The sequence below is a fragment of the Homo sapiens genome, chromosome 7, assembly GCF_000001405.40.
Source record: "Homo sapiens chromosome 7, GRCh38.p14 Primary Assembly".
In the NCBI taxonomy this organism is placed as follows: domain Eukaryota; kingdom Metazoa; phylum Chordata; class Mammalia; order Primates; family Hominidae; genus Homo; species Homo sapiens.
In genome coordinates this window covers 88204360-88229970 of record NC_000007.14, presented here as the reverse complement: position 1 = coordinate 88229970, position 25611 = coordinate 88204360, and the positions used below count along the sequence as shown (strand labels likewise).

Here is a 25611-nt window from a genome sequence, read left to right as displayed (position 1 = left end):
ATATACTTACATTTTGCAGTATTTATGTTTTAGTCAAATTACTTTCAGTAATAAGCAGTCTTCTGCACCCAGTGAATAGGAGTTTTAATGAGGCATGATGGTGATATTAAAGCTCAAGGGCTTTTCAAAGAAAGCTGAACTGGAAACAGGGACTTTGGACAGTCACAGAGTCACAGGAGGAACATTTAAGCACTTGCGATAGCTGCTTCCAGAACCTGGAAGATAGGAGCATGTGAAGGGCCTAAAGATTATCTTTTGAAATTTTTCCTAAATTACCTTTTGAAATACTTCCTAGATGTGCTTGAAAATCTCTATCCACAGCCTGAAGCCAAGATATATTTCCCTAAGTCACTGAGTTCAAATGACACTTTCTTGCCCTTTAGTGGTGTGCTGGTAAATGTTTAACAAGTAGCTTTCCAAGATGGGGCAGGGTGGGACCTTATATGTACGTATATATGTACGTAAGGTAATTGTAAATTTAACTGACATAAAGGGTGTTGTCTTAGTTCAGGCTGCTATAATAAAATGTCATAAACCAGGTGGCTTATACACAACAGAAATTTATTTCTCAAAGTCTGAAAGCTGCAGAATCCAAGATCAAGGCAGATTCAGTGTCTGGTGAAGACCCGCTTTCTGGTTCATAGATGGCATCTTCTAGCTGTGTCCTCATATGATGAAAGGACAAGGCTGCTCTCTGGGGCACTAGTCCATTCGTGAGAACTCCACTAATTTACATTTCCCTGATGATTAGTGATGTTGAGCATTTTAAACTATACCCATTTGGCCATTTGTATGTCTTCTTTCGAGAAGTGTCTATTCATGTCTTTTGCCTACTTTTTAATGAGATTATTTGTTTTTTTCTTGTTGAATAGTTTGAGTTCCTTGTATATTCTGGATATTAGTCCCATGTTGGATGAATAATTTTTGTAAATATTTTCTCCCATTCAACAAGTTGTCTCATTACTCTGTTGATTGTTTCCTTTGCTGAAAGTTTGACTATAACATGTCATGAAGAAGATTCTCTTGAATTGTATCTATTTGGGGATTTCTGAACTTTTTGTATCTGGATATCTAAATCTGTTGCTAGACTTGGGAAGTTTTCAGCTATTATTTCATTAAATAGGTTTTCTATTCCTTTGGTCCTCTCTTCACCTTCTGGAACACTGAAAACTTGAATATTTGATCACTTTATGGTGTCCCTTATGCTCTGTTCATTCTTTTTATTTTTTTCTTTATTTTTGTCTGACTGGATTATTTCAAAAGATCTGTTTTCAAGTTCTGAAGGTCTTTTTTCTGCTTGATATAATCCATTGTTGAAGCTCTTGAATGTACTTTTTACTTCATTCAATAAAATAAAATCCAGGATTTCTGTTTGGTTACCATGATATCTCTCTTTGGTAAACTTTTCACTCATGTCCCTAATTATTTCCCTGATTTCATTATATTGTTTATTTGGGTCTTCTTATGTCTCACTGAACTTCTCTAGTATCATTATTTTGAATTATTTTTCAAGGATTTTTATAAATTTCTTTCTCATTGAAATCTGTTGCTGGATAATTAGTGTGTTTCTTTGTAGATGTCATATTTCTGGGAAAATATTTCCTTAACTGTTCATGCAATTCACAATGTAAAGGCTGTAGATACAACACACTTTTTAAAATTTTTTTTTTTGAGATGGAGTCTTGCTCTGCCGCCCGGGCTGGAGTGCAGTGGTGCAATCTTGGCTCACTGCAACCTCCGCCTCCCGGGTTCATGCCATTCTCCTGCCTCAGCCTCCCAAGTAGCTGGGACTACAGGCGCCCGCCACCATGCCCAGCTAATTTTTTGTATTTTTAGTAGAGATGGGATTTCACCGTGTTAGCCAGGATGGTCTTGATCTCCTGACCTCGTGATTCGCCCGTCTCGGCTTCCCAAAGTGCTGGGATTACAGGTGTGAGCCACCGTGCCCGGCCACAACACACTTTTAACTTTAAACCTTATTAACATATTCTCCAAAATGCCACCTCCAAATCTAGAGTACACAATTAAAAAAAAAATAAATAAATAAATAAAAATAAATGAGTCTTTTGTTTGTAGTGCAAACTGATTTCCAGGGTGTAAATATTCCCAACATAGTGGAATAAACTACTAACTTTTCGCAAATTCAAACTACTAACATGGTATGACTGAGTCTGGAATTGAGAATTAACATCCAACAGCACAAAATTACATACTACCCATATAGAAAAATCATTAAAAATTGATGCATTTGGAGTATTTATTATCTTGATTTTCAGTAAGTTAAAAAATTTCTAATTATACGATTGGCAGTGTTTAAAAATAGGCTGGAAAAGGCCAGGCACCGTGGCTCACGCCTGTAATCCCAGCACTTTGGGAGGCCGAGGTGGGTGGATCATGAGGTCAGGAGTTCAAGACCAGCCTGGCCAAGATGGTGAAACCCTGTCTCTACTAAAAACACGAAAATTAGCTGGGCGTGGTGGGAAGTGCCTGCAATCCCGGCTATTCAGGAGGCTGAGGCAGAGAATTGCCTGAACTGGGGAGGCAGAGGTCGCAGTGAGCTGAGATTGCGCCACTGCACTCCAGCCTAGGAGACAGGGCGAGACTCTCTCAAAAAAAAAAAAAAAAAGGCTGGAAAAATGCCTGAAAATAGGCTCACTGGCCAGTATGAGCCAGCTCCCACATATGACTGTTCCAACACAAAGCCCTGCAGGTCTTCAGAATTCTCAGACAGAGATAATAATCCTGAAGGAATGTCAAATATTTACCTGTATGTGTGTTTAATACTGTTGTTATTGGTTCCTAGCTGCCTTAGATAGGTCATTCTTTGTAACAATGAAATAAACATATTTCATAGAGGGCCTCTATAGGGCTAATTGGAAATCTGCCTACACTGTTGAGTAATGTTTATAGTTGGTTACTGATTTCCAGAGGTCAAGAGGGCAATGTGATTCATCTGCTATTACAGTTTATACTTCTTGATTCTTCTATTTGGCCACTCTGCAAGAAGGCAATCCTCTAAGGATCACCAGCTTCTACCTATAAGACTTCAACTCAAGATGCAGGCAAGTAAATGATATGTATATAATATTAGACTATTCCATGCAGCTCCAATGTTCTAATTCTACTAATCAGGAATAAGAAAGTTCCTAATCTTTGTAGTTCTACTGATCCATGGGTTTCCAAGCTGAGAATCAATTAATCCAGGTTCCTTTCTCAGCTTTGCCACTGATTTCCCAGCTATGGAAAAGAGGCAAGTAACTACTGAAAAATAATTATATAAAGTAAGAGATATCTTATTTTAATTAAGAAGCTCCCAATTTACATGTAGCTGACTTATATATATGCTTCATGGAATTTTGGCATTCTGGAAATATCTACTGTACCTAGGCACCTAGGACTCAAGAACAGTCATTCTTCCTTCCCCAGAGCTGCAATATGAATAATTGGGAATTTTTCTTCCCAAATTCCCTCCTCTCCCAGCTTATTGAACAGATGGAGATTGTATTATCTTCCCCTCCTCTCTCCACAAGTCTGGCTTCTCTATTTATCTCTGGTTCTGTGTAAACTTTGCGACATCAAGATTGGCTGGATAAAGGGACTGAGATGCGAATGGGGATGGGCAATAACCAAGCCCTAGGTGCTCTTGGGTTCCTACCCTGCTCTACCCCGGCTCCAGGACTGCTTCTCTTTAGGAGAACAATGAAGGCTTTAAAGAACTTTCGAGGGCTTGCCTGAGAACCAGTCATAAAGTGACCTTTATGAAAAAATAGACCTAGGTTGCAAAAATTAGCTTTTAGAATTAACACCCCCATAATATACTAGTCCAATGTTCTTAGGAAGAGTCATCCTAAGAGAACACTGGTGCTGAACACAGGTGATTTTCTACCTGAGCATACAGGTCCAGTATTCAATATTCTGCTTTCTATGTGGTCCCAGACATGGTAATGGTCACAAGTAAAAGATGTAGAGACTTGATAATCAGTACAAGCCTCAGACAAAAACTAATTACAGCCAGTTCTTGCATTCATTTCTTGACCTCCCTTTAGCTACCCCTTTAGCCATGCATATTTACATCTTGTTCATCAAAAAATAATTATCTGCACTAAAATGAACTCTTATCATTGATAGTAATAGCATTACCTAGATGTACATTATTTTAGACAATTGCTTTAAATTTAATATTCTGATTTCTGAAACACATTCTGTTCAGGAAAAGAAAAAACAATGTCTCCAAATTCTTGATCCAATAGAAATTGCATAATCTTAAAAGGAAGAGTCCTGAGAGAATAGCGTGAGGTTGAGAAAAGATCTGAAGTGACAAGATAAGCAATTAATACTGGAATTGCTATTAGTCTGGTAACCTTCAGCAAGTCAGAGTCTCAGTTTCCTCATCTTGTAAAGTAGAAATAATCTAACTGGCATGGCTGGGTAAAGTTTAAGTAGGCCATCAGAAAATACTTTGTAGTCCATAGAGCATTAACTCATCCAGGCCCCTACTCAAAGTACAAAACTGCCCTTTAGCATCACTGACAGCCTCTTCTTGATCACTTCTAGTGATGGGGAACTCATCTTTGGAAGGTCATTTTTGACAGCCCTAATGATAAGAAAGTATATATATAAAGTGTGTGTGTGTTTGTAAAAATACACACATATATTTACATATGTACAATGATATACATACATACACATATATGTATATAGGCATATATATTTAGCCATAATAAATTCCTCCAACATCAGCTTCCTGGTTAATCCTGATCATCAACTCCAGCTCAGAGCTTCATTAAGGGAAGGAACAGGTCAGTGAGAATCTATTCTGTAGGAACAGGAACATGGGAACGTTTGTCACAGAGCTGATGACTGCCCTTGCTGTGTTTTGTTAATAACTGATTTATCTTGCTTATCATGCCTATTCCAGGCAAGTAGAATGAGTTTGCTTTCTCTGAGTTCCAGGGAGGAGGAAGCCAACACAGATGAAAGGGTCCCTGTGCTGTTCAAGAGGGTAGCACTAGCCACACAGCTATTCCATTTTAAATTAAACTAAATTAAAATTTTAGTTCCTCATTTCACAGGCTCAATAGCCATATGTGATTAGTTATTGTGTGGCATAGTTATCAAACATTTCTATTGTAGCAGAAGTTGTTTGAAGAGCTGTGGTTGATGATTCATTACCATCTACAATATGCCAGGGACCAGTTAAACTCTACATGCAAGCACTAAAACATCAATAGTGGAAGTTTTCTATCCCTTGAAAAAATTACATAATAGCATGATTAACTGAGCTCTTACTCCGGACAGTTCAAGAAAAAGGGTGGCTTTTATTCCCAAATGAACATCATAGGCTTCACACTCTTTCCCAACAATCTTAAGAAAGTGGAGATACTATTAATTGGTTACCTATGTTGTTATCAAATGCTCATTTCCACTTACATTTGGAGATCTGAGCTTCTCTCTAAGGCAGAGGTCTTTAAATCATGAGGTGCCACACCCAGATCAGAACTAAACAAAAATTGAAACTTTAAATTGGCAAATGTCATTGCTCATTTCTTCCTAACAAGTGAAGACCTATGGTTAATTCAACTGCAGGTATGGTGAAATAACTACAGTTACTTAGTTAGACACTATTTCTTTCACCACTTATCTGAGCGAAGAAGTCCAGGTTGGATACTATATGTAGAGCTTTATATTAACTTTTCTCCAGGAATAAGAAAGTGTCCACACTGCCGTTTGTCTTGAAAACATAATTAGGGAAGGTGTACCACAAAAGAATGGGATTCTCTCTGAGAGCATGTTTATCTACTGTCACAGCTTTAATTGGGAAGGGTGAAATATCTACATCTGGCTAGGTCTGCTCTTCAAGAGCTGGGGCCAGATATTTGCCATCTCTCAGCCTTGGTCTTTTCTTCTGTAAACAGCAGGATTGGAGTATATGATCAGAAAGGTTTCTGTAATTCCAATGACTTCCCAAAATAACCATGACCTGCATCCTATCTATAAACCTCACATAGTTCTCTCCCTAACCCATGCTGTTGTCACAACCCTCCTACAGTCTTTTTTTTAGGACTTAGTAAATCGTTCTGACAAATAACTGTATTCTACCCATAGGCTTTATCTTACAGTCAGCAAATCATTTGCTAAAGTGCTAAACTGCCAGAGTCATAAGCCCGCATTCTGGAGGGGCTTCCAGCAGTGGTTGGTAAACTACTGCCCAAAGGCCAAATCTGACCCACCTCCTATTTCTGTACATCCAAGAGCTCAGAATAATATTTACATTTTTAAATGGTTGGAAAAATAAAATTAAGCATAATATTTCATGTCATATGAAATTCAAATTTCAGTGTCTATAAATAAAGTTGCATTGGAACCCAGCGACATCCATTCATTTATCTATTGTCTATGGATACTTGTGGCCTACACAGCAGAGTTGAGTGGTATTTGGCCATACCACTATGACTACATAGTCTACATACCACTATGTATGTAGACTCTCTCATACAGAGACTGTATGGCCCACAGGCCTAAAATATTTACTACCTGGCCCTTTACCTGCCCCTGGGTGTAGAGCACAGACTCTAGAGTCAGATGGCTTGGCAGCATAGCTCAGCTCTGTTCTGTTCCTTCCCCTTCCTCAAAACTGTATAATAGGAATGACAATAGTACCTATCCCATGGGTTTTTATTAAGATTAAGCAAATAAGTAAAATGCGATGAGGATCTGGCATATTTTTATTATTATATATATGTCTGATGGTATTATAAGTTGCCACAATTTTTTCCAGCAAACTAAAGTATTAGCAGCTGACCAATTTGTTAGCAATAATTGTAAGAATTGAATTTGCAACACTCCATTAAAATTCAATTCTTTGTCAGATGAGTAGGTAGCGAAAATTTTCTCCCATTTTGTAGGTTGCCTGTTCACTCTGATGGTAGTTTCTTTTGCTGTGCAGAAGCTCTTTAGTTTAATTAGATCCCATTTGTCAATTTTGTCTTTTGTTGCCATTGCTTTTGGTGTTTTGGACATGAAGTCCTTGCCCATGCCTATGTCCTGAATGGTAATGCCTAGGTTTTCTTCTAGGGTTTTTATGGTTTTAGGTCTAACGTTTAAATCTTTAATCCATCTTGAATTGATTTTTGTATAAGGTGTAAGGAAGGGATCCAGTTTTAGCTTCCTACATATGGCTAGCCTGTTTTCCCAGCACCATTTATTAAATAGGGAATCCTTTCCCCATTTCTTCTTTTTGTCAGGTTTGTCAAAGATCAGATAGTTGTAGGTATGCGGCGTTATTTCTGAGGGCTTTGTTCTGTTCCATTGATCTATATCTCTGTTTTGGTACCAGTACCATGCTGTTTTGGTTACTGTAGCCTTGTAGTATAGTTTGAGGGCTAATATCCAGAATCTACAGTGAACTCAAACAAATTTACAAGAAAAAAACAAACAACCCCATCAAAAAGTGGGCGAAGGACATGAACAGACACTTCTCAAAAGAAGACATTTATGCAGCCAAAAAACACATGAAAAAATGCTCATCATCACTGGCCATCAGAGAAATGCAAATCAAAACCACTATGAGATACCATCTCACACCAGTTAGAATGGCAATCATTAAAAAGTCAGGAAACAACAGGTGCTGGAGAGGATGTGGAGAAATAGGAACACTTTTACACTGTTGGTGGGACTGTAAACTAGTTCAACCATTGTGGAAGTCAGTGTGGCGATTCCTCAGGGATCTAGAACTAGAATTACCATTTGACCCGCCATCCCATTACTGGGTATATACCCAAAGGACTATAAATCATGCTGCTATAAAGACACATGCACACGTATGTTTATTGCGGCATTATTCACAATAGCAAAGACTTGGAACCAACCCAAATGTCCAACAATGATAGACTGGATTAAGAAAATGTGGCACATATACACCATGGAATACTATGCAGCCATAAAAAATGATGAGTTCATGTCCTTTGTAGGGACATGGATGAAATTGGAAATCATCATTCTCAGTAAACTATCGCAAGACCAAAAAACCAAACACCGCATATTCTCACTCATAGGTGGGAACTGAACGATGAGATCACATGGACACAGGAAGGGGAATATCACACTCTAGGGACTGTGGTGGGGTGGGGGGAGGGGAGAGGGATAGCATTGGGAGATATACCTAATGCTAGATGACGAGTTAGTGGGTGCAGCGCACCAGCATGGCACATGTATACATATGTAACCAACCTGCACAATGTTCACATGTACCCTAAAACTTAAAGTGTAATTAAAAAAAAAATTCAATTCTTTAGCAGTAAAGCAGTGGGAAGATGTCTAAGGACAACTGATATGCCAATTCGTATAGCCGTTTATCCACGAAGCTAATTCTGCAGTACTTAAAAATATTTTATATGCTTTATACTTCTTTCAAACTTGAGTCTTGAGCTTGTACTCAACATCGAGTTCGGCCCTGACATCTACTCTTTATAGTCGGTTACCTCTTTCTGAAGAAACAGGCTTCCAAAGAGAGACCAGGGGACTCATTAGATGTCTCATCTACCTTGATGATTGCTACCTTGATGATTGAAAACAGTAACCTGCTTCCTGAATCAAACACAAAACAGGCAACATGCAGTGTCTTTGCTATGCCACAACAGGGACTATTAGAATTTTTCTCACAATTCGGACTTTGGTTTTCAAAAGGGCTTGCGAGGGAAGTTACACACAAGAGAAAAACAATGAACCGAATGAGGACAATAGCCCACGAATTTAGAATGGAGGAAGCCCGTCCACCACAGCGAAAAAGCACAGTACCACATTGGCGGGTGCTCCAATATTTGTGAAATGTTGATGACCCTTTAAATGTTTCTGTGCAACCTCCACAACAAATACTGTGAATCTTGCTTATTAATGCGTTTCTCAATACGTTAAAATTCAGGAAATCATTAAGTCTAGTCCTTAACAGTGAAGGGCAAGCAATTTTCTGTCATTGAAATTACACAAAACAAAACAAAAAGCTCACGCCTGAATTGCTTCGGACTATTCAACTGGAAGATAGAAAAATATATGAAGTAAAGAAGAATAACCTACATAGAAGTTCCTATCTCTTATCTTCCTGAATACTTACCAGTACACTATTAGTTTGTTCTAAACTTTTCTTATATAAAAAGTAGCTGAATACTTTTAGGGAAATGGATTGTTTTGTCTGAATCATCCAGATAATTCAAACAATTCATTTTCCTAAGAACGATATGTGTGAGTCTGTCCTGCCCGGAAAATGCCCTCTGTCCTACTCAGGACACAAGTCACGCTCAGCTTAAACAGGCAAGGAATTGTCCCCTAGGAAGGAAATACGCCGTTGTCGTTCAGTGAACTCTGCAACCAACAGCAAGCCAAACTCTCCCTTGCACACAGTTCGTCAAGTTAATTCTTATTTTCCAAGGGCGCTTTCGTATTTCCATCTTTCAAAGACTCCTTCACCCACTGGCACCTAAGGCTTGCCCTAACGCATCCAGCCCCTGCCTCGCGATGGTGCGCTCCGCTTATAATAGCTCCGTCCTGTCCAATAAAGTTGTTTAAAATAAGAAATGTGCCAGATAATAGCCAAGTCCGAAGGAAAAAAAAAAAAAAAGAATTCCTGGGGTGGTGTATTGGTGTTGGAATGTGCCATTAGTTTTGGAGGGAGGAAAGTCCCTGGTGTGAATTGCCTCGCAGGTCGTAGGCCGCCACTGGACCTTCAGTCGTGCACTGCATTAGCGCCGTAATGGCAAAGATACGAAGAAGCGCGCAGGCAGGGGAGCCACGGCCGCGCGCACAGGCAAGAGCTGGAGACGACTGCGGAGCGCGTCCCCCACGCCCGCGTGGTGCGCTCTGGGGCGGCCCCCTAGCGGCAGGGCGGGGCGGGGCAGGGGGCGGAGAGGCCTGGCGCACAGGGCGAGGGCGGCTGCGGCGCAGTCTGCAGCATGGCGTACCCGGGGCATCCTGGCGCCGGCGGCGGGTACTACCCAGGCGGGGTAAGTGCTGACTGCGCGGGATCGCGGCCCAGGCGGCTCCGGGGCGCTAAGAGGCCACCTTGGAGATGCTGCGGCCAGCGGGGTGAGGCGCTGCTGGGCGGCTACCCGGGCTCCTTCCGCCCTCGGCTTCTCCCTGCGCTCGCGGCCTCGCCCTAGGCCCCTGGGGTTCGGCCTCTCCCCACGTTTCCCCGTCCCTTCTCCTGGATGGCCCTGCGGGGCCAAGGTGAGGGTGGATTGGGACCCTAGAAGCCCACCCTGCGGCTTCTCGGATACGCGGCGTGAAATCGTGTTAATTGGGTGTTGGCTGACCCCCACCCCACCCCACCCCCGCCTTCTTGGTTGCCTCCCAGAGCAACAACAGTCATTTTATTCTAGAATGATATACCTTCCTCCCTTTAAAAAACAAACAAACAAACAAACAAACAAACAAACAAAAAACGAGTGAGAAGGGGGACGGAAAAAAAGGGAAAACCTGCTGAAGTAAAAGACCTGTAGGAAGGCAGCCTCGCCGGGCGTCTGGGATGCGCGTTGTCTTGGGAACTGTTTCCGAGACAGGCAATGTTCCCTCGCCACCCACGAGATACAGCCCGGCCGGACACCTTACTCTTCCCTAGGCTACACCCGTCTCAGAATGTTACCAACTCCAGCCTTCCATCGTTCATAAAACGCTCTTAAAATACCATAAATGCTGTAACAACAAAAGGAGAATTTGAAGCCCTGCCATTCGTTGGCTTACCTAGTTTGCACTCACCTCAGTAACCTTCAGGTTAATAGGGATTTTAAAAGTTGCTTTACATATGTAGACATCACTTTCACAGCAACTCTTTATGGTCTAAGTCGCCAGTTTTTAAATTACGGGGTGTGAATGGAAGAGAGGGGTGGAGTGTTGGCAGAGTGTGCCCGGTGGTGGGGAGGTGAGCCTTGTGAAGGGCGGGCAGGCGGGCAGTTGTCTGGCCTTGCACAAAAGCCCTCAGTGGTGAAAGAAGAAAACTTGATTCGGCAGAATGACGTGTATGTGTTTCCTGTTTCACAGTATGGAGGGGCTCCCGGAGGGCCTGCGTTTCCCGGACAAACTCAGGATCCGCTGTATGGTTACTTTGCTGCTGTAGCTGGACAGGTTAGCTTTTCCCTTTAATATTAAAGAGCCGTTATTGTCTGCATTTGTGGTAGCTTTTGATATAGTGACACAGAAAAGCGAACTTCCTGTGGTACTGAGTCCCTTTGCTTCTGCAAAAGAAAAAAAAAGTTGTTTCTTATTTTAGTTTTTTATTTCTGAATGTTCAGAATAAATGAGGACAAAGTGTTACTCGTATTTATGTGAGTTCAGTTCGAAAGCAAACTTGTGGTTGAATTAAAGGGTCCAGGATGGTTTCAAGCGAAAAAATTCAAGATCTGGTAAATATAAACGCTTGTTTGTACAACTTAAAGACATATATTAGTAATTACATAGCTCGATTCTAATGGGCACTTTCTTTGGGTTGAACTTGATTGCTAATCATTCACCCCCTTAGGAAATATGGTAAAAACCCACCAGCTTCTAAATAAGGAAGTTACTGTTCCCTTCTTAGTATCAGAAAGTTAATCTTGTGAACAGTGTAGTTTCTCTTTGATGCAGATGCTGTTACTAGGTCAGCCCCTCCATGTCCTTATTAGGTGTTCTGGCCTGTTGACCCAGAGAAGCAATTAAGGTCAGCTCCCCAAGACCTTTCACTTGTCTGCATTCTGAGTTGTATGACAGGTGCTATCTTACATTGACAGGTGCTATCTTACATTGAGAGAGGACACTTCCCTAGTTCATGAGGTCACTGTGTGCAGTAAATATACTGTTGGTATAACCCAGACACGTCCAGAGGAGATGTTTGTTCTTATGAATTCAACCTAGTTTTGTTTTGACCAAAAGCTAGAAATAGCAAAATCTTAATGTGAAAACTGTAGAATATTATGGGATAAAAAACCTAAGACCACTTTTAAGGTAGTACTCTAAGAAATACAGCTTAAGAAATTGAATGGAAAATATAGTCTAAAACTGGAAGACCTTCCCCTTAAGTATCTACTTAAACTGTTAATGATCTGTATCTTTGAAACCACAAGGCATGGCAAACCTCAAGACTAGCATTCTTAGATTGCCAGTGCCTCCAGCATGTAAGTGACTCCACCTGCTTAGCTTTCAGCAGCCCTGGCCTGTATTCAGCATACCCATTGTCTTTCAAATTGCTGATCTTGCTCCTCATTTATAACTTATAATACCCAGTGACTTGAAGATTTAGGTATTTTATTTTAAAGTCCCTAAAAATCACATATATCTAGTTCTTTCCCAGTTCAGCCAGTGAATGGGCACTGGGAACCTAATGTGAATCTTCCAGATGTATTTGTGCTCTGAAAAAAATGATTCACTATATCATAAGAAAAAGTGACCAAGGAGGCCTTTTTCTGTTTGAACCAAGCCTTCTATTTATTGATGTCTGCTTTGTACCTTGCTCTCTCCACCCCCATCAAAAAAAAATATTTTAAAATGTTTAGCTGTAGCAGTTTGCTAGCTCAGATTGAGAGAAGAGTAGTTGCCAAGACAGACTCTTTCTTTCATCATTAAATTACTTTTGGAAGTGGGTTAAGGAAAAGAATGCCCACTTTTGGAAGGCATTCCTTTTAATAAAAAAAAGGCATTCCTTTTAAATAAAAAAAAGATACTGATTTTCTTTGTTGTTATTGCTTCATTGAATGCTGAAGGTAAACAACTTGAAAGTACAAATCACTATTATGATTCCTCTAATTTTTTTTCAAAAGGATGGGCAGATAGATGCTGATGAATTGCAGAGATGTCTGACACAGTCTGGCATTGCTGGAGGATACAAACGTAAGTTGACAGTCCCAAAGTTTGTCTAAATATACTCTTGTGTTTCCTATCTTAGCTGTTACTTGTGATTACAGCCTTCAAGAAAACTGAGCTTGTCGGATCTAGCAAAGTTTAGAATTCCGAAAGCTAAAATACAGTACTATTTCAAAATGTTGATTTGAAAACAGTTTTTAAATCACTCCAGGCTGGGCACAGTGGCTCACACCTGTAATCCCAGTACTTCAGAGGCCCAGGCAGGAGGATCGCTTGAAGCCAAGAGTTTTTGGCTGCAGTAATCTATGATTGTACCACTGCACTCCAGCCTGAGCAACAGAGCAAGACCTTGTCTTTAAAATAATAATAATAATAAATTATTCCATCCTACCTGCCAATCTAGTGGATTTCTCAGATTTGGGTTTTGTGTACCTAGAACCAGTGAGACAGTTTGGGTGGCCTCCTTCACAGAGGACAAGGTAGGGTGCTGAAATGGAATCTGCCAGGTCAGGGGTCATTAACTGACATTAGGAACTGATATTTACTGTTATTTGCCAAGAGCCTACTCTGCCCTGACCTGGTGGCACTTAGGGCTTTGAGTTGCTGCCCTGCACCCCTGGTCCCTGAGTGGCCTATCCTGCACTCCTGGTCTCTGAGCTTTGGGCATGCTCCTGCTAACATAAGTGGTTGCCATGACATCCCTCAGGTCTTTCCTCTTCCACTTCATAGAATGTATTCAGGCTAAGTGGGAAGTGGCCTTTCTACTTACTGGACCTGCTGCTCCATAATTCAGCCCTTACCCTACCCCTGCCTTTTGAACACTCTGCCATGAGCTGAGAGTAATGAAATACTGCAAAGATGCTCCATCCCTGGCAGGGCACAGTGGCTCACACCTGTAATCCCAGCACTTTAGGAGACTGAGGTGGGAGGATTGCTTGAGCCCGGGAGTTCAAGACTAGCCTGGGCAACATAGTGAAACCTTGTCTCTGCAAAAAATTTAAAAATTAGCCAGGCATGGTGGCATGCACCTGTGGTCCCAGCTACTCAGGAGGCTGAGGTGGGAGGATTATACAAGCCCAGGAGGCGGAGGTTGCAGTGAGCCAAGATTGTGCCACTGCACTCCAGCCTGGGTGACAGCCTGTCTCAGAAAATCCAAAAAATTGCTGCATCCCAACTGGGGGCTTCTCATCATCCAACACATATGAAGTGGTTCCTCTTGAAATTAGATCTTGAACATGATAGATTTCCAGGGTAGAGAATAATGTCTTAGTTCAAATACATTACCAACTTCTTTGCCAGTTGTTAATTGAGACAAAACATCAAATTGAAGACCCAATTTCATGGTTAGCTGTGGATTAAAATGTTCAAACTAGAATTCACAGCTGTGAATTTATAGTGGCCTTTTTTTAAAAACTATTTGACATGGCATGTATTAGATGGCTGTCTTTGAACTCTTTGCATTTGTTTTCATTATCCTTTGTTTTATGTGACTTTAGTATCCTATTACTCTTTCCTAATTAGAGGAATTAATACAAACGAAGAACCTTTCAAGTTCCTGTTATTTAATCTAGTCCTAAACAAAATAAGCACTTTTTGGATTAGGGGATGTTATTCTTTACTGTGTAGGCAGTACATTTAAATTGTTAATTGTTACGCAATTGAGCTGGTAAACAAGGTAGGCCTGCCTATTAGCAGGGTTTATCAAAGTGCAGTGAGATCACAGCATGGCCTGTTATTCTACATCCTTTCAGTAGATGAGGTGTGGCAGATTTTAGAATCTGACTAACAAAATGGGTTGTATATTGTTAGAGAGCAGTCCTTTTAAAATTTCATTGAGAAAGCCACATTTAGTGATGGCCTTAGATCAATGCATTAAAGAGAAAGCATTTCCTGAATCATGGGGCCTATGTGATTGAATCCATTTGCCTACTCTCTGGTGGCCGTACTGAACCACAGAACCATCCTGCCTATGAGGTGTCAGTGTTTTGTAATGCAGATATTATATGGCCATTAGTCTTTTAAACCCAACTTCCAAACCAAAAAGCACAGGTCCGAATTGGATGAGCAGGTGGGATACTCCAGCTCAGAGCCTATGGGCCCTTCTTAACCAGTTTAAAAGGAAGCAGTCATACCTAGAGGTGGAGTTGGTGAGAGAAGTTGTGTTCCAGTCAGTAAGATTGTAATTCAGCTTCTCTTTTTTCCCTGAATTTAGTTGTTCGTCTGTGATAAGGTTGAGAGAAACAGCTGGAGGTAGGGCTTTCCTTCTAGGTCCATTATATTGTATGTTTCTGTGAGAAGAAAAGATGTTTGAGGCATTCTAGTAGAATGAACAGAAGAGAAGAAAAAGAGTAAAGGTAAATTACAGCAGAGATTCTTTGGAAATTATTAAAATTAACATTATTTAATTTAAATAATTTCAAAATGTTGAATTAATAATTTTAATTATAATTTATAGTTATAATTATATGTAGTTACATTTACGTAACTAATATATAATACTTATAATTTTAATTAATTTTAAATAATTATTTAAAATAGAATTAACACTAATAAAAGCTATATTATTAACAAAATTGAGAAAGAGTTTTCCTTACCAAAACTTATTGGACATCAGCGTTCTAGTTCATTGGAACTGTCTAGAATGGTGTATTTTTTGTTCATTCACTTTTGTTCACTGCCATCTCACTGCCCTTTCAGATCCTTCTCACAAAAGATGACCAGATTCCTGATCTTCCTGATCTGTCCCTCTCCTCCTCAGTCTTTACTAACAGCTTAGAAGGAATTCAAGGTCCTCTGTAATGCACCCTCCCCTGACCAAACATATTTTCTCCCACTCCTTTTGTACTCTTTGAAAGTCATATTGAGCTATTCACTTACGCTTTGCCTGTCCTAGGCCTTCTACTTCTCTCTTTGCTTATGCTGGTCCTTAGCTGTCACCAAATGCCCCCATCATTCTTGTCATTCAAGGCTTGGCTTAAATTCTTTGTCTTCTATAAAGTCTTTCTTGATTCTCTTACTGGGAAGGAGCTTCTCACTTCTCAATCCCTTCTGGTACTTTCTGGCCCCTCCATTATAATTCAGCACTCTACCATGATTAGGGTTATATGTGTATGTGACTTATCTTTTCCTTAGACTGTCAGCTAGGACGGTATGCAGTTTCACAACTGTATCTGCAAAGTTCCTGTTACCCTGAGCCCTGAACATAATAAGTACTTAACAGTGGCTGTTGAGTTAATGAATATGGAAAATTTTCTGTGTCAGAAAAATTATAGCCCTGTAGCCTTATTGGCTTTTTGATTTAAGATTATACATTAATTTTTGAGCATTAGTAAAGATTAGAAAATTTTATTCAAAAAACATTCCTTCTTAGACGATCTAAGAGGGTTGTACATATAAAGTGCAGGGCTCTACAGCTTCCTGCGTGGGGGTGAGAATTTGGTGCCATCCATCCATACCAGTGCATTTTTAGTGAATACTTCCTATGAGCTAGGTGCTGGCTCTGTAGCCACAATCAATGCCTGGGTGTTGGGAAAAGCACTGGGATAAGAGAGAGGCTGTGGAATCACATAGAATGGGCACATAACCCAGACAGGAGTCAGGAAAGTTTTCCTTGCAGAATTGATACCTAAGCTGAGCAGAAATGAGGCCGACCATGAAGTGAGTGGGATGGGGAAGTTGTGTCCTAGGTTGTTAGAACAGCATGTGCAGAAGACCCAGAAATAGCGTGGTTCAGTCAAGAAATTGAGAAATTCTCCATGAAGATAGTGTACGGGGTTGAACAAGAGTAAGAGATGAGCCTGACTTGCAAAATAAGTGTGTTACCTTATGTACCAGTTAAGGTGCTTGGACTTTATCCTGAGAGCAGTAGATCACTGATACTGGGTTTTGCATAGGAGAGCACATACTACCCCTGACTGTAAAGACTAATAAATTGGGGGACATGGAAGTAAAACAAGAGTCAGGGATGCCCATTAGGGAGCTGCTGGAGTCATACAGGTGAGAGAAATGCTAACTAAGGAGACAGTGGGGCTGGAAATGGACTCTACAGCTGTTTAGAAGGTGATTGATTATTGGTGGAGAGGGAATTGAGGAGGCTCCCAGGTTTCTGGCTTGGGTTACTGCTGAGTGGATGGGGGTGCCATTCATTAACAGAGACAGAGAAGCTGTCTGCCTCATAGCCCCTTCAATACCTTCATGTGAGCCCAACACAGTTGGCTCTGCGCTGTGGTTGTCAGGCCGTCCAGAGCAGTTCTTAAACTTTAGCAGCATTGGCATCACCTGGAAAGCTTACAAAAACCAGATTGCTGGGTCATGCCCTAGAGTTTCTCATTCAGAGGTCTGGAGTGAGTCCTGAGAATTTCACCTCTAACAGGTTTCCATGTGATGCTGGTTCAGGTTGAACCAGCTTCTTTAACATGAATATCTATCACCTGCACATCTGCTAAAATTCAGCTTCTGATTTTATTGGTGTAGGGTAAGGGCTGAGATTCTGCAGTTCTTCAAGCTCCTGGGTGATGCTAATATGGCTGGTCCAGGAATCACACTTTGAGTAGAATGGTGGTCTCAACCTTGGCTGCTCACTAGAATCATCTGAAAAGCTTTTTAAAAATACAAATACCTGGGTCCCACACTCAGAGTTCCTGATTTAATTGTTCTATGGTGCAGCCCAGGTATCAGAATCTTTTAAAGCTTTGATTCAGATAAGCACAAGTGTGGAGAACTACAGCTCCAGATTAGAGGGACTTCATACCTCCACACAACTTAAAAGTCAGAATGAAGAATCTACCAGCTCTTTCCCAAACTGTAAAAAGTGCTTCCTCCTCCTCTCACCTCAGAGAATATTATCTGTGGATCAAATGGAGATTGAAGGACCAAAATAGAAATAGTCACTAGTCTTTTATTTCCAGTAAAGCATATGCCAAACACAGGAATCTATTAAATGTGTAAAACCTATAGTTTGCACTGTTGGGAGACATTACAGTAATGAGCGCAGTTGTGTTTTAATTTCAGTTTGGTTTGAGAAAAAATATGAAGCTACAAAGAGCTGTTAAAAATGTTCTGTGTGTTAACAAGCTTGCAGAATTTATACCAGCTTTTCCCACGTGACCCTTGTCACTTCTGCCATTTAGCGTTGTAGCTTCTTTGTACCTATACAATTTCTTCAGTCATTGATTCCCATTAATTCAATGTAAGAGGTGGTTTTTAATTTCCTAATGCTTAGGTTACCAGTAACCACACCCATTGCATGTGCTCTGGTTTGGTTACATAAGTGAGGTACCAAAATGCCCTCATAATACTCCTAAACTGTAGGTAAATTAAAAAGGCTTCTGAATAGTGGCCACCACTGAATTGGTCATGGGGTCTTATCTAGAGTACTCTTATTTAACACATAATTCTAACAACCATATTTATCTGGTTTCATATATAAGCTAAGAGGTCATAGACTATTTGAGGTAGGAGGTTACTGCTCAGTACCTGACATTGAAGGGAAAATAGAAAAACAAGTAATCAGACACAAAATTAGCAAAACCAGCAATTTATAGTCATTTATGAGTAGGAACAAAGCAACCCTGACTTCCCACCCACCATGTTGGATATAATACATTATGGTTCGTTATGGTGACTTGAACTCGCTATATTACAGTTTCAAAGCAAGAAAGTATGAACAGTACTATGTAATACTTTTTTTTTTTTGAGATGGAGTCTTGCCCTGTCACCCAGGCTGGAGTGCAGTGGCATGATCTCAGCTCACTGTAACCGCCTCCTCCCAGGTGCAAGCAATTCTCCTGCCTCAACCTTCTGAGTAGCTGAGATTACAGGTGTGTGCCACCAGGCCTGGCTAATTTTTATATTTTTAGTAGAGACGAGTTTTTGCCATGTTGGCCAGGCTGGTCTCAAACTCCTGACCTCAGGTGATCCGCCTGTCTCGGCACCCCCCAAAGTGCTGGGATTACAGGCGTGAGCCACCATACCCGGACTATGTAATACTTTTTAAAAGGAATTCTGTCAAAGTTATTTAAATCAAATTTGGGTTCCTAGCAAAAAATCTTCTTTATGGAGAAAAGGCTACTTTGAAGTTCCATATGATTAGTCACACGTAAATTGATAGCATATAAAAATAAAAGTGTATAATAATCATATTTCTAATTAATTTGAATGTATCCAGTGTAATGTGAATTTTTGGATTTGTGTTAATATGTATGTACTTTTCTTGATTTAACAGCTTTTAACCTGGAGACTTGCCGGCTTATGGTTTCAATGCTGGATGTATCCTTTACTTTGATTGTTGTCTAGAATAATTTTTTCTAAAATTCTAAAGGAATTCATCTTAGAATTAATATCTAGTAAACACAAAGTAATAAATGATCACTAAAAAGCTTTCTGAAATAATTAGCTTCTATTATAGGGTGGAATTTGGTGTGAATAAAGGAAGAAAAGAAATTTAGTAAACAGAATGTTGTTCAGGAATTTAAGGAAACATCAGAGTATTATAGAACAAGTACAGAGTCCAGAGTGTCAGGACAGCTTTTTTTCTTTAACATTGATTCCTCTGCAAGTGATGGGATTTTTCACATCCCACTTGTTGGACTGAGTTTAGGTAGTGCTGACTATCCAGTGCATTCCATCCCACCTCATTTGTCTGGGGGCACTAAACAAGGGAATATTAGTACCAGAGATGATGCTAGGACAGAAGGGCAAACAGCATAGCCTGAAGCACCCACAAAGTACAGCCTAGTTCCAGTAACAAGACCGCTTTTTATAAGTGGTTCACAATGGCAACGCTATTTCCTTATAATCAAGTCATGTAAGTTATCTTTTCCCCACAGTAAAAATTGGCACTTGAGCTTTTTCTCCATAGCCCCTTTCTATTTTTAAATCATTAATTTTACATCATACCAAGAATAATCTACAATAACTTTTTTAGCCATTGAATATTGAATTCCCCTTATCCTTGATCTTTCATTTAATCCTTAGAAAATATCGCAAAATACAGCTCTAATCCTTGATTACAGTTCAGAGAGATATGTCTGGCACAATGGGTTTCAATGAATTTAAAGAACTCTGGGCTGTACTGAATGGCTGGAGACAACACTTTATCAGTTTTGACACTGACAGGAGTGGAACAGTAGACCCACAAGAATTGCAGAAGGCCCTGACAACAATGGGTAGGTATGGCTTACTAGAACTCTCCATTCATTGGTAGAAGTAAGTTGATTTTTATTTTTAAAACCAGGCTGGGTGCAGTGGCTCACACCTGTAATCCCAGCACTTTGGGAGGCCAAGGAGGGTGGATTGCCTGAGCTCGGGAGTTCGAGACCAGCCTGGGCAACACAGTAAAACCCCGACTCTACTAAAATACAGAAACATTAGCTGGGCGTGGTGGCATGCACCTGCAGTCCCAGCTACTCGGGAGGCTAAGACAGGAGAATCACTTGAACACAGGAGGCAGAGGTTGCTGTGAGCCGAGATCACACCACTGCACTCCAGCCTGGGCGAGAGTGAGACTCCCTCTCGTAAATAAATAAATAAATAAATAATTGCTACCTGAAGGCAGTTTCTGTTTTCTTAGAAATTGTGTGTGTTCATAATTAATATGAGTCTGCAGTCTTAAAAAATAAAATAGTGCTTGATTATTTTATTTTTTAATGAGCTTCTGCAATCCTTTAACCTTTTTACTGGATGGCTTTTCTTTTAGGATTTAGGTTGAGTCCCCAGGCTGTGAATTCAATTGCAAAACGATACAGCACCAATGGAAAGATCACCTTCGACGACTACATCGCCTGCTGCGTCAAACTGAGGGCTCTTACAGGTGAGTTCTATAAGGTCGTGTCATCACCACAAGCCAAGACACAGTTTTTATTACATTTCATCTCTCAGTGCTTCTCAACTTTTATTCTTCCCAAATTTTTTCTTGCTTTAGTAGTTTTTTTCAGATTACTATTAAGCATATCTGGCAAAATAATTTTTTGGTTTTTTTTCCAGAATTTATTTTAGATTAGTAAGTAATCTGCCATTAAAATAAACAATTAAATTTTACTAAAATGTTCTAAAACACAATCAGCTAACTTGTGCATTTTTGATCAGATAATAATGAATTTTTCCCCAGAATGTGAAATATTTGGAAAGAGTGAAATTAAAATAAAATCCTTTTCTATAGGGCAGAGCTGAAATGGTAGAGAAACTGATTACAGCCCATTTGTTATATTGGGGACTCTTTATCTGTTTCTTAAGCAGTATCTTTGTTATTAAGAAGCTAGAAATTCGGTGCTTTTATCACAATGAAGTAATGGCCATGGAAGTTGCACAGCTTTTACTGACTTTGGGTAAGGTATTTTCTCCAGATCTAAAAAAACAAAAAAACAAAAAACACAGCTGGCCAACTTCTGCCTGTTACTTTGTTGCATATTAAATCTTTTACTATTCATATAGTTGGCTTCTTTGCTTTGGTCTTTTGTTTATGTTAATTGGTTGCACAATTTAAATGTTACTGCAATGTGAATTCAATGCCAAAATAACTAACTTTTATGATTTTAGAAAAACCATTTAAAGAAAAACCATAAATTTTACTGTGTTGTTTTACAGACAGCTTTCGAAGACGGGATACTGCTCAGCAAGGTGTTGTGAATTTCCCATATGATGATGTAAGTCTTAGAAATTAAGAGATACAGTAGATGAAAAGGATGTACACCAGATGGGTATCCCTTTGAAATTAGCTGTTAAGAATATCTTAAGGTTAAGGATGCCAGAGACATAAGGGATTCAAAAGTTAGAAAGAGTTATCATCCAGAATTTATTAATTTCATTTATTAGTCTTAACTATAGTGAGACCATGATTTGATTTGCATTCAGAGACCTGGGTTCAAGACCCAGCTTGTTGTATTTATTAGCTGGGTCACTTAAGCAGGTTTCTTAATTGCTGTGACACTATATGAATAAAGAAGATATAGTAGTAATGCCTTTTTCACTGAGCCATTGTAAGATTTCTATTAGAAATGCCCTTGAAAAACACTATGCAGATATACTATCTGCTTTTGTCTTCTGTAAACAAATCATGTCAGTCACTGAGAATAGATAACAGCTCAATAGTTTTGCATACCTATGTTCTTCATTGAGGGCATAAGGCAGGCAACAACTTAAATCACAATTTTTTTTTTTTTTTTGAGATGGAGTCTCGCTCTGTTGCCCAGGTTGGAGTGCAGTGGCGCAATGTCAGCTCACTGCAACCTCCACGTCTCGGGTTCTAGCGATTCTCCTGCCTCAGCCTCCTGAGGGACTATAGGCATGTGCCACCATACCTGGTTAAGTTTTTTTGTATTTTTAGTAGAGACGGGGTTTCACTGTGTTAGCCAGGATGGTCTCGATCTCCTGTCCTTGTGATCTGTCCGCTTAGGCCTCCCAAAGTGCTGGGATTACAGGCGTGAGCCACTGCTCCCGGCTAAATCACAATTTAAAACAAGTTATTTACTAAACAGCCAAACTAAACAAGGGTAGGGTAAGGCCATGTAATCAGTGTGAACATAACCTAGTGCCATCTTTGATGGCATTAGCTGGATGTATATAACAAAGCTAGAGAGATTGGTTACTTGTTTCTTCAGTTTTTGCTCAGCCATTGATTTAAAAACAAAAAACAAACAAACAAAAAAACTTGTAGAATTGAAATGACTGTAATCACTGAATATTCCATTCTCCATTACAAAATATAAGATGCATGTATTTTTGGTTTAGCAGCTGCTGCAGTTATAAGTACACTTTTAAAAGCTTAGTATGTGTGTGTGAATATGCTTATTTTACCTGCTTAAGGGTGTGTTCTCTTTAACATGCGTTAACTTCTTAGTTGACAGTCCCCTTGCTGTTTCTAAAGATCAGAAGGCTGCCTGGGGAATGGAAAGAAAGACCATGGGCTTTGACTTCAGATGGGGCTACTTAAAAGATTTCTAAACATCCTGATCCTTATTTTCCTTTTCTCTAAAATAGGGATAATCACCTTGACCTTGCAATAGAGCTGCAAGGGTTAGCAGTGCACAATACCTTAGTAGTGTAGGGAACACTGATAGAGCAGAATCTATTGCTTTATGTTTAGCGGGGAAGCCAACATTTCACAGCAAATACTGGTATTTCTAATCTCAGGTATCTGAAGGGTTAGCTGTTCTGTTTCTGTGCATACATACACTTGCATGCTACAATTTGTTTTAATAAAGCAGATTTTAAGGCAATAAACTGTTTAAGGTGTTCCATTAGAGTAATGGGGTAATACTGTGTGGTTTGGAAATCCCCACGTAATACAACAGTATAAACTCCAGTTGTTTGTGTTTGTGGTAAGTGTCTTTGACCACGGCCATTTCTAGTCTTGGATATTATTTGGAATTTAAATAATTATTCAAATAATTATTTAAATTATTTATCCATTGAAGTTATATCTGCTTTCTCTAAGAAGTTTTGATGTGAGAAACCCTGTGGATTTTATATTAGACTGCTTCCCTAAAAAAAGGAAACTTTTCCATCTATCATTTACTCATATCTTAGAAAGTTGTAGGGGTTGTTTTACCCGTGTTCAAATTAGAAAACCAAATGTAAGCTGCCAGAAATAGGCTGTGCCGTATAAGTGCTTTGAGGTCTGTCATATAATGCTGATTTTTCTTTCAGTTCATTCAATGTGTCATGAGTGTTTAAATCAAGAGGAAGCTGCATGAATGTAATCAACATTCCAACTGGAGCTCTCCTTTGCTTGTCCTCTTTGCCTTCGGTAATATGTATAAACTTACATCACGACTTTCTCTTAACAGCTGTTGTAAAGTTTATTACTTTATGTACAACTGAAGTTTTGTTTTAGTTTTGATAATAAATTCTTTGGAACTTTAATAAGATCTAGTCTGTTACACCATTTAGAACTTTCCTGAGCCATTATCAGTCATGCCTTATTTTCTTGCTAAAACTCTATGTAAATTTAAGTATGCAAAATGTTTAAGTCACATTATTTATTTTTCATTGTGAGACACTAAAAACTGTTAATCAGACTACAGCTGTTATCTTTCCTCTCCTACAAAGAATACTCCACACATAAAAACTTAGGTAAATGACATAGACGCACTTGGGTGAAATAAAACAACAAAAAAGGTAATCCAGTAATCCACGTCAGGATTCACCTTAGAAGTTTAGCACACGCCCTTCAAAACCTGTTGAATAATTTGATTGGCAAATACTATCTGTCACCAAGTCCCTTTTTGTCATCTATTTAAACCTTTGTTAACTCTCCTTAAAAATCTTGTACATTATAAGCTTAACTATATAAAAAGAAAATTGATAGAAAAAGACTAAGGGAATATATGGAAATATTAACAATGTTTATTTTGGATGAATGGAATTCTAGATGACTTTAATTTTCTTTATATCAGTATTTTTCAGATTTTCTATATGCTTTCCTTTTAAAATCAGATTTTAGTTTTTAAAATACTGATACATCCATTTTGATATACCATGTATTCACACTTTAAAAAATACACATAGCAGAGTATCGGAAAGTATGTACCAAAACATTGATCTGGCTACCACTGGGAGTCAGGATCATGAGTTCATCTTCTTCCTTCTTACTGCTTTTCCAAACATTCTCCAGTAAGCAGGTACTACATTTATAATGGAAGGAATTTTTTAAAAAATTTTAAGCTGTACACTTTCAAGTAAGATCTGAATTCTAATGCTGGCTTGTGCCTCTTACTATGTGGTTTGGTCATTATAGATAATGCCCAGTTTCAGTTTCCCCATCTTTGAAAAGGAGATAATATGTTATCTCTTGGGAGTAGTTCTGAATATGAAGTGTGTTGATACAAGAAGCACTGACAATGTTTCTGTTTCTTAAATTTAAAACTGGCCTGGTTTGCCTTTTTTATCAAGAGAGCTTAACAGATAAAAAATGAAATTAGTCTATTTTCTACTTGCCAGCAGAGTATCTGTCTTATTTTAGGATGCAGTGTGAAACTTACCATTCAACTGAACAACTAGTTGTCAACTAATGAAAATAAAACATTTTCTCTAAGCATCTTTAGCCTCATTTCACTATTAATTTTTTAAAATATTGTTAAAATATATATTATTCAAACCTAACATATAACTATGGCAAGTTAGTTAGCCCAGGTTACATATCAGAATGTGAAGCAGCCTGCTATATATTACACAGTGACTATAGATTGCATCATCTCCGTATATTGTCTGTGAGGCCATAAAGCTCTGCTTGAGTCTGGGCTATCTAGAAAAGGGCCAAAAAGGGGCTCAGAGGATTAGGAGGCAGGGAGCTCACCTTCAGTGTCCTAGCACCTGCTGTTTGGTTTCAACTCACCAGGGTCCTCTGAGGAAATCATAGTTTAAGGAAATGGTAATTTCCTGGTTGAGGATAAGCAGTAGAGAAGGCCCTTGCTGAAGGATATGGGCCATATTTGAACAAGTCCCAAGGTGTGCTGCATCAGTTGTGGTTCTGAATTGGCTTTGGGGTGAATACAAAAGCATCCCTCTGACATTATATTAGTTTGTTCGCACACTGCTAAAGACATTACCCAAGACTGGGTAATTTACGAAGGAAAGAGGTTTGACTCACAGTTCCACATGGCTGGGGAGGCCTCAGGAAACTTACTTATAATTATGGCGGGAGGGGAAGCAGGCACCTTCTTCACAAGGCAGCAGGAGATGGAAATGCAAGCAGGGAAGTGCCAGATGCTTATAAAGCCATCAGATCTCATGAGAACTCACTATCACAAGAACATCATGGGGGAAACCGCCCCCATGATCCAATCCCTTCCC

General features: G+C 39.5%; 1 protein-coding gene and 2 long non-coding RNA genes across 6 annotated transcripts, besides 3 other annotated features; 2 read left to right on the top strand and 1 right to left on the bottom strand.

Annotated features, from left to right (window-relative positions):
• SRI-AS1 (SRI antisense RNA 1) lies at positions 203-13311 on the bottom strand. The gene is made up of 3 exons (NR_120517.1): positions 13214-13311; positions 10747-11222; positions 203-215 (listed from the first exon to the last, which is right to left on the bottom strand). It is a non-coding gene; the product is annotated as an SRI antisense RNA 1 (long non-coding RNA).
• Positions 2703-2997: an enhancer, noted in NCBI's record as "tiled region #10982; HepG2 Activating DNase matched - State 8:EnhW". NCBI's record gives its function as "activates a minimal TATA promoter and a strong SV40 promoter by Sharpr-MPRA in HepG2 cells {active_cell/tissue: HepG2}" and the evidence as "EXISTENCE:reporter gene assay evidence [ECO:0000049][PMID:27701403]".
• On the top strand, positions 2995-24856 carry SRI (sorcin). 4 transcript variants are annotated; one of them, NM_198901.2, is made up of 8 exons: positions 2995-3062; positions 11029-11112; positions 12780-12849; positions 19046-19089; positions 19841-19988; positions 20519-20632; positions 21406-21464; positions 23467-24856. In NM_198901.2, exons 1-8 carry the CDS (start codon positions 3057-3059, stop codon positions 23491-23493), a joined length of 552 nt encoding a protein of 183 aa, NP_944490.1. In that variant the 5' UTR covers positions 2995-3056; the 3' UTR covers positions 23494-24856. The 4 variants fall into 4 exon arrangements, with proteins under 4 accessions (NP_944490.1, NP_001243821.1, NP_003121.1 ...); NM_003130.4 differs by lacking the exon at positions 2995-3062 and adding an exon at positions 9933-9995; NM_001256892.2 differs by lacking the exon at positions 23467-24856 and having other exon boundaries at positions 21406-21776.
• Positions 9711-10210: a silencer, noted in NCBI's record as "silent region_18356". NCBI's record gives its function as "represses an Ori minimal core promoter by ATAC-STARR-seq in GM12878 lymphoblastoid cells {active_cell/tissue: GM12878}" and the evidence as "EXISTENCE:reporter gene assay evidence [ECO:0000049][PMID:35858748]".
• Positions 10858-10947: a silencer, noted in NCBI's record as "silent region_18355". NCBI's record gives its function as "represses an Ori minimal core promoter by ATAC-STARR-seq in GM12878 lymphoblastoid cells {active_cell/tissue: GM12878}" and the evidence as "EXISTENCE:reporter gene assay evidence [ECO:0000049][PMID:35858748]".
• LOC124901691 (uncharacterized) lies at positions 13387-15395 on the top strand. The gene is made up of 2 exons (XR_007060419.1): positions 13387-13528; positions 15035-15395. It is a non-coding gene; the product is annotated as an uncharacterized LOC124901691 (long non-coding RNA).